At 56.9% G+C, this 12,627-nt stretch overlaps 1 protein-coding gene across 12 annotated transcripts in view, besides 1 other annotated feature; it reads left to right on the top strand.

The window, feature by feature from the left end:
• The window catches only part of IFT140 (intraflagellar transport 140), a 101,646-nt gene that overhangs the window by 83,587 nt on the left and 5,432 nt on the right, over positions 1-12,627 (top strand). For all 12 annotated transcript variants that reach the window (XM_047434970.1, NM_014714.4, XM_006720990.4 and 9 more), the window contains 11 exons: positions 1,690-1,867; positions 2,409-2,599; positions 3,160-3,255; positions 3,570-3,702; positions 3,791-3,934; positions 4,530-4,658; positions 4,786-4,968; positions 7,678-7,884; positions 8,143-8,355; positions 8,439-8,605; positions 10,129-10,270. In XM_047434970.1, coding sequence (XP_047290926.1) covers positions 1,690-1,867; positions 2,409-2,599; positions 3,160-3,255; positions 3,570-3,702; positions 3,791-3,934; positions 4,530-4,658; positions 4,786-4,968; positions 7,678-7,884; positions 8,143-8,355; positions 8,439-8,605; positions 10,129-10,270 — 1,783 coding nt within the window. The remainder of the gene's footprint in view (positions 1-1,689; positions 1,868-2,408; positions 2,600-3,159; positions 3,256-3,569; positions 3,703-3,790; positions 3,935-4,529; positions 4,659-4,785; positions 4,969-7,677; positions 7,885-8,142; positions 8,356-8,438; positions 8,606-10,128; positions 10,271-12,627) is intronic.
• Positions 2,780-3,979: an enhancer, noted in NCBI's record as "CDK7 strongly-dependent group 2 enhancer chr16:1574508-1575707 (GRCh37/hg19 assembly coordinates)". NCBI's record gives its function as "activates an origin of replication core promoter dependent on BRD2, BRD4, P300/CBP, MED14 and CDK7 cofactors, with strong dependence on CDK7, by STARR-seq in HCT116 cells {active_cell/tissue: HCT116}" and the evidence as "EXISTENCE:reporter gene assay evidence [ECO:0000049][PMID:35650434]".

Below are 12,627 nucleotides of genomic sequence, written 5' to 3'. Positions count from 1 at the left end.
TGTGCTTGTGTGTGCATCCATGTGTGTGTGCATGCATGTGAATGTGTGTGTGCATCTGTGTGTGCATGTGCGTCCATGTGTGTGCATCCGTGTGTGTGCACACGTGCGTGCATGCGTGTGTGTGCACACGTGCGTGCATGCGTGTGTGTGCACACGTGCGTGCATGCGTGCGTGTGTGTGTGGCTTTGGTGGGGCTTGTAGGGGAGGCGCGTGTGGCAGAGGAGAGAGATTCAGGAAGTGACCAGTGCGTCCTCTGCCTGTCCCTGCTCGGTGACCACACTGAGCTGTGTCTTGGAACAGGGCCTTTGTCTGAAGCCCTGAGCCCACGTCAGGGCTGAAGCCGCAGGCCAGCCCGGCCCCAAGGCCCTTGGGGCGGGATCTCCCTGGATGGCCTTGGACCCACCTCCCGCCCAGCCCCACCAGGAGGCCTGGCTGAGTGCCCCCACACACATGCGGACACACGGTTCTCATGCAGCGTCATGTCCCTAGAGTGGCTGTCAGCAGCCTTTGCCTACCCTGGAGCTGACACAAACCAAGTCCTCAGTCATTTCTGGTCCTGCCTGGATCAGCGCCAGCAGGGGAAGAATGCAGGAAACCTCATGGAGAGGCGGGGGGCTGGGCGCGGTGGCCCATGCCTGTCATCCCAGCAGTGTGGGAGGCCAAGGCAGGTGGATCACTTGAGCTCAGAAGTTCGAGACCAGCCTGGGTAACATGGCGAAACCCTGTCTCTACAAAAAATACAAAAACTTAGCTGGGTGTGGTAGCACACACCTGTGGTCCCAGCTATTTGGGAGGCTGAGGTGGGAGGATCACTTGAACTCAGGAGGTCGAGGCTGGAATGAGCTGTGATTGTGCCACTGCACTCCAGCCTAGGCAACAGAGGGAGACCCTGTCTTACACAACAAAAAAACCCTAAGAGGCAGGGTGACTTCCACCGTCCCTGCACCTGTGCCCTGACGCAGCTCTGCCCACTTGGCACCCTGTTCCTTCACACACACAAAATTCACTGCCCGAGAGTGGGGCACAGGGCTGGGGTGGAAGGTGCTGTCCCCCGTGACCCACTGGTCAGCCCGTCTGCAGGCCTGCCTCCAGGGCCCTCTGCTCGGCAGACCTCCAGGGCTCTGCAGAACCCTGCGTGGGCTGGGTCACCGTCTCCTGGGGAGACAGGCCTGTCTCCAGGTTCCAGGGCTGGGTCAGGGTCTGGGCCCTGTACCCCGTCCCCCAGGCTCCACCCTTTGGCTGCCAGACTGTCGGGTGAGGGTCCCTGCTGTGCAGGGCTGGTTTACCAGGGGCCCTGCAATCTCAGGCTCAGGTGAGAGCAGGAGGCTTTGTCTCAGAGCAGGTCCTGTGTGTGCAAGCAACACAGGAAGCCCACATTTCCTGATCAGACAGCCGCTTAGAGCAGGGAAAAAGGAGGAGGAGCCTGGTGATCTGCATAAGAGATCCTTCTGTCTTTTAATGGGACCCGGCCCCTGCCTCTTGGGGTTAGGAAGGCCGTGGGACTCGTGACGGGCACCTCTCTGCATGGCCTGCAGTCTTGCCCAGGGGCGGAGCCGATGGGTGAAGGCCCCTCCTCATGCCCGTTTGGCAGCTGTGCCTGATGACTACTTGCCCCAGGAGAAGGGGCCGTAGGGCCAGGGGGCCCTGAGGTGCTGGGCAGGAGCCTCACAGACCCCCGTCTGCCCACAGTGAGGCCGTCTGGGAGAACATGGCGCGCATGTGCGTGAAGACCCAGCGGCTGGACGTGGCCAAGGTGTGCCTGGGGAACATGGGCCATGCCCGCGGGGCCCGAGCGCTGCGTGAGGCGGAGCAGGAGCCGGAGCTAGAGGCCCGCGTGGCCGTGCTGGCCACGCAGCTGGGCATGCTGGTGAGGGGCGCCCGCCATGGGGTGGGTGGGAAGGCACCACGCCTGCCACAGCCACGGCCCCCTGGGGAAGGAGGAGGCACGCCCACCGGCCTGAGCCTGCACTGATGTGGGCAGAGCCGAGAGGCATGACCCAGGAGAGCTGGGCAGACAGCGGCGGTGGAGGTGAGGTGGGTGGAGGCTAGGCGACCGCCGGCTCTCCAGGGTGTGTGCCTGTCAGGTGTGTGGGCCTGGAACAGAGCGCCCGAGAGACCCCCAGGTCAGCAGGGCTGAGCACGGGACTTCTGGGGAGGCTGTGGGAGGGGGGGCTGTGGGAGGGGGGCTGTGGGAGGTGGGGTACCCCTTGGTGGTGCATCTCACTCTCCAGCCGTGGGACGGGGATGCCCCGTGGGTGTGTGGCGTTTGCTGTGCCCACAGCGGCCCCGTGTGTCAGTGTGCTTGGCGGTGTGGGAAGGTGCGGTGACCGGTGGCCTGGCGTGGAACAGTGTGTTTGAGACGTGGGTGTGTGGAGGCTGCACGACACCTGCCCATCCTCATTCCTCAGGAGGACGCCGAGCAGCTGTACAGGAAGTGCAAGCGCCACGACCTCCTGAACAAGTTCTACCAGGCTGCGGGCCGGTGGCAGGAGGCCCTCCAGGTAGCCGAGCACCACGATCGCGTGCACCTGCGCAGCACCTACCACCGCTATGCCGGGCACCTGGAGGCCAGCGCCGACTGCAGCCGGGCCCTCAGTTAGTGAGTGCGGCCCTCGCGGCCTCTTCCCTGCCTCTCTGGATGGCCCTGGCTTGTGAGGCCTCTTGTGTGTGCTGTGGTGAGGTGGCCAGGGAGGTTCTTAGAGGAGGCGTCTGTCTCAGGGTGGTGGCAGCCTTCTCGGCAGGAAGCTTCTGGGAGTCTCGGAGATGTGGGGTTGCCCCTTCCATCCTGGGCCACCCAGCTTCCCAGGCAGGAGACAGAAAGATGTCTGTCCCATTGGTGGTGTCAGTTGCCGAGCACAGATGGGCCTGATGTCTCCTGAGGACAGACAAACCCCATGTCACCCTCTCCAGAGGAGGAGCTGCTCTTAGACCCGTTCCCGGGGTGTGGATGGGCGACCCGCCTCCCGGGCCCCCACAGTGCAGGAAGCCCCCACTGCCCCCTGGCCACGTGTGCTCAGGGTCTGCAGAGCTGCAGGCCAGGAGCACACACCCCGAGGGCCACCGCTCTGATGCGTTTCACCGACGCTGCCCCTCAGCCCACCCGGTTCCCGTGGGGCTGGGATGGGAGGGAACGAGGACCTCTGTCTCCTTCTCTCACAGCTACGAGAAGTCGGACACGCACCGCTTCGAGGTGCCCAGGATGCTGTCGGAGGACCTGCCGTCCCTGGAGCTCTACGTGAATAAAATGAAGGATAAGTGAGTGTCCCCACCAGGGCTGGTGGGACCGCACTCCATCCTGGAGGTTTGCAGGGACCCCAGGGCTTGCTGAGACGGCTCCCTTTCCCGTGCTTCCTGCACGAGTGGGCAGCGTCCTCCCGGCTCCTCAGAGCCATGCCAGGGCCCTGAGCCAGGCCCTCCCTTTGGACAAAGCCAGGGGTCCTCACTCTTGGCCCAGCCTGTTTGCAGGTCAGGTGACATGCACTCTAAGGGTGGCACAGGGGCGGGGTGGGGGCCGTCCCGGGTTGGAGCGGGGCTCGGGTGGAGAATCCATGGTCTTGGGCTGCCCGCAGGACCCTGTGGCGGTGGTGGGCGCAGTACCTGGAGAGCCAGGGCGAGATGGACGCCGCGCTGCACTACTACGAGCTGGCCCGGGACCACTTCTCCCTGGTCCGCATCCACTGCTTCCAGGGCAATGTCCAGAAGGTAAGGTCCCCGCAGGGGAGCCGGCCAGGCGGACACGAGGCAGACACAAGGCCACCGTGTCTCGTCTTTGGGTTCTTTGTCTTTCTAGGCTGCGCAAATAGCCAACGAGACAGGAAACCTGGCGGCCTCCTACCACCTCGCCCGCCAGTACGAGAGCCAGGAGGAGGTCGGGCAGGCGGTGCACTTCTACACCCGGGCACAGGCCTTCAAGAATGCCATCCGCCTGTGCAAGGTACCACGGGCCCGGGGTGGGGAGCCGGCGCTTCTCGAGGTCCCCTGAGGAGAGCTTCAAGTGGAAAAGTGGACAGAGAGAATCGTGTCAGTGACACGTGGTCCGGCCAGTGTCTGCCACTCACTGCTCACCCCGTCTGCCTCACCCGCCCACCCCTCTGCCCACCCCTGGCCGCTTCCATCTGACATTGTTTGCAAAGCACTGAATTGTCCCCAGATGTTTCCCAGGCTCCAGGGCTCCTGAGTGGGTGGTGAGGCTGCTCACGGCCTATGGCCTTGCAGACGGCAGACCCTTCCTAGATAGCTGTTGGGCGTTCTGCACCACACAAATGTCCCAACCTGGGCTCTCGCTTCCAGAAGCATCTCCCGTGTCAGGTATTTCTTGCAGTGCTCTGTGAAATAGAACCCAGAGCATCGGAAAATCCTTGTAGACAAACCCAGTAAGTCATCAGCTCCTTAAAACCCATCACCGCAGAGATCGCTGAGCAGTGTGTCAAAGTGAAGGGGCGGGTTCGCACCCGGCCACATTCCAGAATCTCAGCGGACCTGGGGAAGCCAGTGGGAGCCGCTTCAGGGCCCTGCCTCCCTCCCTGCAGGAGAACGGCCTGGACGACCAGCTCATGAACTTGGCCCTGCTGAGCTCCCCCGAGGACATGATCGAGGCGGCCCGATACTACGAGGAGAAGGGCGTGCAGATGGACAGGGCGGTCATGCTGTACCACAAGGTGAGGGCTGGCCACCGGTGGGGACCTGGGGGAGGGGCAGCAAGCCAGGGGGCCCTTGCCTGTGCGAGGCCTCCGTGCTCGGGCCCCCAGGCCTCGGGCAGCTGCTCAGAGCCCACCGTATCCGCAGGCTGGCCACTTCTCCAAGGCCCTGGAGCTGGCCTTTGCCACCCAGCAGTTTGTGGCCCTACAGCTCATAGCAGAGGACCTGGATGAGACGTCAGACCCTGCGCTCCTGGCCCGCTGCTCCGACTTCTTCATCGAGCACAGTCAGTACGAGAGGGCGGTAGAGCTGCTGCTGGCTGCCAGGAAGGTACGGGGCCAGCGGGGCCTGGGCTCGGCTCCACGCAGGCACCACGGCTCAGGTCTCCTGTCCCCAGAGGCTGTGGGAATGGCTGCTTGCTTGGTTATGAGTTCTCCAGGAAGGCTGCGGTGGGTGCCCCCTGCCCTAGGTTTCACATACGGCACACCCAGGAGGTCCGCAAGTGTAGACTCGCCATCCTTCACGCTGGCATCTGATCATACACAGGGAATGGTGCACTCACCTATGGTGGGGGGTAAAAACACACAGAACACAAAATTTACCATCTTAGCCTTTTTTTTTTTTTTTTTGAGACAGGGTCTCGCTCTGTTGCCCAGGCTGGACTGTGGTGGTGCCATCTTGGTTCACTGCAGCCTCAACTTCCCAGGCTCAAGCAATCCTCCTTCCTCCTGAGTAGCCGGGAATACAGGAGTGTGCCACCATCCCCAGCTAATTTTTTAAATTTTTTTTCATAGACTCAGGGTCTTGCTGTGTTGCCCAGGCTGGTCTTGAACTCCTGGGCTCAAGCAATCCTCCTGCCTCAGCCTCCCAAAGCACTGGGACTGTAGATGTGAGCCCTGTGACTGGCCAGGAACAGTTTATTCAAATGGAAATATGGGTGGTTCCCAAATATAAAATGCTTAGCTTTATTCATGATAGAAATACATATCAAAATTCACGGAGATGCCATTTTTTACTGGGCTACTAAGGGTGGAAAGGCTGGAGTGCAGTGGCGCAATCTCGGCTCACTGCAAGCTCCACTTCCTGGGTTCAGGCGATTCTCCTGCTTCAGCCTCCCAAGTAGCAGGGACTACAGGTGCCTGCCACCACACCCAGCTAATTTTTGTATTTTAGTAGAGATGGGGTTCCACCACGTTGGCCAGGATGGTCTCGATCTCTTGACCTCGTGATCTGCCTGCCTCGGCCCCCCAAATTGCTGGGATTACAGGCGTGAGCCACCATGCTTGGCCGACATATTCTCTTTTTGTTTTTTGAAATGGAGTTTCACTCTTGTTGCCCAGGCTATAGTGCAATGGGGCGATCTCAGCTCACCGCAACCTCCACCTCCCGGGTTCAAGTGATTCTCCTGCCTCAGATTCCCCAGTAGCTGGGATTACAGGCATGCACCACCACGCCCGGCTAATTTTGTATTTTTATTTTTATTTTTATTTTGAGACAGAGTCTCTCTCTGTCACCCAGACTGCAGTCCAGTGGCACAATCTTGGCTTACTGCAACCTCAGCCTCCCGGGTTCAAGCAATTCCCCTGCCTCAGCCTCCCGAGTAGCTGGGACTACAGGCGCCCACCACCACACCTGTGTTAATTTTCTGTGTTTAGTAGAGACGAGGTTTCACCATGTTGGCCAGGATGGTCTCGATCTCCTGATCTCATGATCCACCCTCCTCAGCCTCCCAAAGTGCTTGAGATTACAGGCATGAGCCATGGCATCCAGCCTAATTTTGTATTTTTAGTAGAGACGGGGTTTCTCCATGTTGGTCAGGCTGGTCTCGAACTCCTGACCTCAGGTGATTTACCTACCTCGGCCTCCCAAAGTGCTGGGATTACAGGTGTGAGCCACCATGCTCAGCCATATTCTTTTTTTTTTTTTTTTTAAATATAAATGTGTTATTACTTCATATATATTTGTGGGTTATTACTGTTTTTTTTTCTTGTGGAGATGGGGGTCTGACTGTGTTGCCCAGGCTGGTCTCAAACTCCTAGGCCCAAGTGATCCTCTCACCTTGGCCTCCCAAAGTGCTGGAATTACAGGCATGAGCCAACATGCCCGGCCTAAGACATATTCTCAAGTGAAGAATGTAAAATTTTTCTTAAAATGAGGGCTGGGTGTGGTGGCTCACGCCTGTAATCCCAGCACTTTGGGAGGCCGAGGTGGGTGGATCACCTGAGGTCAGGAGTTTGAGCCCAGCCTGACCAACAGGGAGAAACCCTGTCTCTACTAAAAAAAATTACAAAATTAGCCGGGCATGGTGGCGGGCGCCTGTAATCCCAGCTACTTGGTAGGCTGAGGCAGGAGAATGGCTTGAACCCGGGAGGTGGAGGTTGCAGTGAGCCAAGATTGTGCCACTGCACTCCAGCCTGGGCAATAAGAGCAAAACCCCACCTCAGAAAAAAATATATATATTTCTTAAAATGTTAGGAAAATCAGGCCGGCACGGTGGCTTGTGCCTGCAATCCCAGCACTTTGGGAGGCTAAGGCAGGCGGATTGCTTGAGCCCAGGAGTTCAAGACCAGCCTGGGCAACATTGCAAAACCCCGTCTCTACTGAAAATACAAAAACTGAGGTAGGAAGATCACCTGACCCTGGGGAGGTGGAGGCTGCCGTGACTGCACCACTGCACTCCAGCCTGGGGGACAGAGTGAGACCCTGTCTCAAAAATTTAACTTTAAAAATTCAGAATTATAGAAGAAAATTACCAATTTCCTTTTCTCCCAAACGTAATATTCTCTTGAGCATATATCACTTGAGACTATTGTTTCCTTCGTTCCATTCTGGAATGTTAACAGCGTGAGAAAGTAACGTGAATGATTGTAGGTTGGTGAGGCAGGGGAGACATCCTTGTCCCCTCCATACCCACCCCAGCTAGACAGAAGCCGCCGCTGAGCCGAGGGGCCTGGTTTCCTCTGAAGCGGTGGCAGATGAGGGGCGCACTTCAGTTCCCGGCCCCCTCGGCAGCCCCGTCCCATTTCTGCACCTTTGCAGTATCAGGAAGCCCTGCAGCTGTGCCTGGGGCAGAACATGAGCATCACCGAGGAGATGGCGGAAAAGATGACCGTGGCCAAGGACTCCTCGGACCTGCCTGAGGAGTCGCGGCGGGAGCTGCTGGAGCAGATAGCAGACTGCTGCATGCGCCAGGGCAGCTACCACCTGGCCACCAAGAAGTACACGCAGGCCGGCAACAAGCTGAAGGTGAGCCTCTCCCGGCCCCAGCCCGCGGCTACCTCACAGGCAGTTAGGCTGCGGGCCCCCTGCACGCATCTCCATTTGCCTTCGTGATGACCCCAAGCTAGGGCTGAGCCTTTCTGGCCAGGAAGAGCACAACCACTAAGATCTCTCTCTACCGGGCAGCCCTGAGCCACTCTTCTTGTGAGAGCTCCTGCTCGGGGTCCCTTGTGCTTGTCCCGGCCCAGCCCCTGCTTGCCTGAGCCCCGCTGTCTCTCTGCCTAGGCCATGAGGGCGCTGCTCAAATCCGGAGACACGGAGAAAATCACGTTCTTCGCGAGCGTGTCCAGGCAGAAGGAAATCTACATCATGGCTGCTAACTACCTGCAGTCCCTGGACTGGCGGAAGGAGCCGGAGATCATGAAGAACATCATCGGCTTCTACACCAAGGGGCGGGCCCTGGACCTCCTGGCTGGCTTTTATGACGCTTGTGCCCAGGTGCAGGCCCTCCCTGGCATGCCAGCGGGGCCCCGGGGAGGGCTGTGGAGCCCGGCAGGTCTTGACGGGTTTCATCTGTACAGGTGGAGATTGATGAATACCAGAACTACGACAAAGCCCACGGGGCGCTGACCGAGGCCTACAAGTGCCTGGCCAAGGCCAAGGCCAAGAGCCCCCTGGACCAGGAGACCAGGCTGGCGCAGCTGCAGAGCAGGATGGCACTGGTGAAGAGGTTCATCCAGGCCCGCAGGTGTGCCCCCGGGGCCAGCGGGGACAGGCCAGGGCAGATGTGACTACAGGGCCGGGGCTGACCACGAGAAACCCCAGCCAGCAAAAGGGCAGGACAGCAGATGGGAGCTCACTTGGGACAGCACTACTGCTGAAGACACACCCCACCTCCTCCTGGGAGCCCTCAGAGCCCGGGCACAGCCTTGGGAAGGTGTTCTGGAAACACCAGAGACGCTGAGAGAGAAACCTGGTGGGGGAGTGGGAGGAGGAGGCAGATGTGGAGCAGGAGAGGGTGTGTCTGGGGAGCCACAGACCTGCTGAGGGTGTGCAGGGGCCGGGCAGGGGAGTCCTGAGTGAGTGCCGCTGTGTGACCTGGGGTTGGGGGACCATGGTGACCAGAGGGCTCATGCCTCTCCACAGGTCAACTGCCACCAGCTCCAAGCTTGTGGAGAGGAGACCCAGGCAGCCAGCCGATGGTCTCGGTTTTCAGGAGAGGCCAAGATGCTAAGTTTATTTGAACACCTCCCCATCTTTATTATGGGCAGGTGACTCAGCTTTTCAGAGAGCTGCTGTGTGGCCACCACGGTGGGCACTCGCCTGTGCGCTTCAGGGCCCAGCTTCTGTCTCAGCTGGCAGGGCTGTTTTCCTTATCGGAGAACCTTTTCCAAAACAAGAGTTCCAGAAGTCCTTTGAACAAGGTCGTACAAAGCGGTGCCCCTTGGAAGGGCACGGTCCACCTGCACGTGTCGATTCTGGGGTATCAGCGTCTCACAGATGTCTGCTGAGCTGAGGCCACAGGGCAGGAGCGGAGGAGAATCGATAGCAGCTGGTCATCAGGGATAGCACAGGACGTGGGTGGAGGGGAGACGACGTGTGAGGGCCAGGGTGGGCAACCTTCTATGGGCCAGGGGTCAGAGGGCAGGCCAGGCGCCTGTCTGGAATGGCCGAGTCAGTGGGTGGCCAGATGGGCCCTGGACCCTCCTGACATGGGAGCCTGAGCTCCACACGGCTCCAGTCACCTGCCCTGGACCATGTTGTGTTCCAGCAGGCTCACCTCCCTGGTGTCACCCCAGCTCACAGGCCACACACCCTGCTCTGCCACAGACCCTCACGCCAGGTCACACACGCAGCCTGTGTGCGGGCAGCCTCTCTGCTTGGAGGGTTCTTCCCAGCGGCCTTGGGCAAGGGGTGCCGTGCGCCTCTCCGTGTACCCTGTCCACATGCACCACATCCCCTCTGGGTCACGCTTTGTGCAGAGGTTTCTAGCCCCCTCTGGACTGTTCCATAGAGCAGGAACTAGGGGTCGGAAGTCTTTGGTCTTCAGTCCAAGCATAGGACCCAGCATTCAAGTGATCAGTAAGAATGTTACATGGATGAGTTAATTTATGAATGAACAAATTAAGGAATTAATGAATTTAACTTCATAGAAAGTTTCCTCCTGCCATTCCGGAGAGCTCCTCTTACAGGCCAAGAGTCTCCTCTGACCTCTGATAGCAGTAGGTGTTCAGGGCTTCGGGGCCCAGGCCTCATCTCTGCTCTCGGCAGGACGTACACAGAGGACCCCAAGGAGTCCATCAAGCAGTGTGAGCTGCTCCTGGAGGAACCAGACCTGGACAGCACCATCCGCATCGGGGACGTCTATGGCTTCCTGGTGGAGCACTACGTGCGGAAGGAGGAATACCAGACGGTGAGGCCTGAGTGCTGCTCACTAGCAGCATCCCGCCACACAAGGCTCCTGAAACGAAGGCTTAACGGCTCAAACTGAGGCTGTGTGTGGCGGCTCACTCCTGTAATCCCAGCACTTTGGGAGGCTGAGGCAGGAGAATGACTTGAGCCCAGGAGTTCAAGAGCAGCCTGGGCGACATGGTGAAACCCCATCTCTACAAAAAGGGGAAAAATTAGCCAGGCATGGTGGCTCACACCTGGGGTCCCAGCTGCTTGGGAGGCTGAGGTGGGAGGATCCCTTGAGCCCAGGAGGTTGAGGCTGCAGTGAGATCTGATGGCGCCACTGCACTCCAGCCTGGGTGACAGAGCGAGACCCTGTCTCAAAAGAAAAAAAAAATCTGTCGGTAGCAAAAAGTAACAGTCTCACGCTGTTACTGGCTGTTACTAGCAGTGTCGCAGGAAAGCGACAGACTTACTTTATTTGTGAAGAAATGTCTGCATGTACCCGAGTCTGAATAACCACGATTTCTTTTTCAGGGATTTTCACAAAAAAAGAAAATGGTGTTCCATTTTTTAGTCGCTTATTTTTTAATTTTAGAGACAGCGTGTAGTCACTTTAAAGTGACCAGCTAATCACTTATTCAGCCGCAGTGTTCTAGCGTTTTCCTCATCCCCACCAACATTTGATCATTCTTTCGAACTGTAGCCATCCTAGGGGGTGAACAGTACCTTGCTGAGGTTTAAATTCACATTTTCTGGATGAGTAGTGATGTGCAGCTCCTTCTCATGTGCTTATTATCCATTTACACACCTTCTGTGAAGGCTTCAAGTCTCTTCTCATCATTTTATTGGGTTTTCTTATTATTGTACTTTTTTTTTTTTTTTTTGGAGACGGAGTCTCACTCTGTTGCCCAGGCTGGAGCGCAGTGGCGCGATCTCGGCTCACTGCAAGCTCCGCCTCCTGGGTTCACGCCATTCTCCTGCCTCAGCCTCCCAAGTAGCTGGGACTACAGGTGTGCATCAGCATGCCTGTAGAGATGGGGTTTCACCATTTGGCCAGGCTGGTCTTGAACTCGTGACCTCAAGTGATCCACCCGCCTCCACCTCCCAAAGTGCTGGGATTACAGGCGTGAGCCACCGCGCCTGGCCGAAGTTCCCTTCTATTCCTTTTTTCCTCTGCTTCTGAAATTCCAATGACTTGTATATACAGTACCATCCCCTAGCTCAACTGATGCTCTTCTTTTCTCCCCCAAGGACTTTTTCTGTTTTTCATTTTAGGGATTTGCCATTTCTGTTGCTTCAAGTTTACCAGCTTTCCTTCTGCAGTGTCTCACTCTGATGGTAATCCCATCCATCTTTTTCATGTCAGTTTTCTACCAGTCAACTTTTTCTACCAGTTTTTATTATTGTTACTTTAAACCTTTTTTCCTGCCTTCTTTTTAGTTGATTTTTTTTTTTTTTTTTTTTTGAGACAGAGTGTCGCTCTGTCGCCCAGGCTGGAGTGCGGTGGTGCAATCTCGGCTCACTGCAAGCTCTGCCTCCCGGGTTCACGCCATTCTCCTACCTCAGCCTCCCGAGTAGCTGGGACTACAGGCGCCCGCCACCACGCCCAGATAATTTTTTTGTATTTTTAGTAGAGACAGGGTTTCACCGTGTTAGCCAGGATGGTCTCGATCTCCTGACCTCATGATCCGCCCGCCTCGGCCTCCCAAAGTGCTGGGATTACAGGCGTGAGCCACCGCACCTGGCCTTAGTGGACTATTTTTTATAATTTCATTTTAGCTATCAGCTTTTTATCTCTACTCCTCTTTGCATTGTATTTCTAGTGTTTGCCCTGGAGATTACCATAAACATACTTACCACACTAGAGTTAGCAGGTAGGTCCATTTCCCACCCGTGTCCCCACCTGTATTTGTCGTATGTGTAACATGTACATGTATTATAAACACAGTATAGTGTTATAATTGTTGCTTTCAACAGTCATATGTATTTTGAAGAAATTAAAAGGAAAGAAATAGTCTTTTACATTTACCTACATATTTACCATCCATTTCTGGTGTTTTTTTTTTTTTTTTTTTTTTTTTTTTTTTTTTTTTTTGAGACAGAGTTTTGCTCTTTGTAGCCCAGGCTGGAGTGGGCAACAAACCTCAGCTCACCACAACCTCTACCCTCCAGGTTCAAGTGATTCTCCTGCCTCAGCCTCCGGAGTAGCTGGGATTACAGGCATGCGCCACCACGCCTGGCTAATTTTGTATTTTTAGGGGAGATGGGGTTTCTCCATGTTGGTCAGGCTGGTCTCAAACTCCCAACCTCAGGTGATCTGCCTGCCTCGGCCTCCCAAAGCGTCATTTCTGGTGTTCTTACTTCTTCCCTATGATT

Source organism: Homo sapiens, chromosome 16 (genome assembly GCF_000001405.40).
Source record: "Homo sapiens chromosome 16, GRCh38.p14 Primary Assembly".
Lineage (NCBI taxonomy): Eukaryota > Metazoa > Chordata > Mammalia > Primates > Hominidae > Homo > Homo sapiens.
Note: the sequence above shows the minus strand (reverse complement) of the source record. Positions and strands in the feature narration are given on the sequence as shown.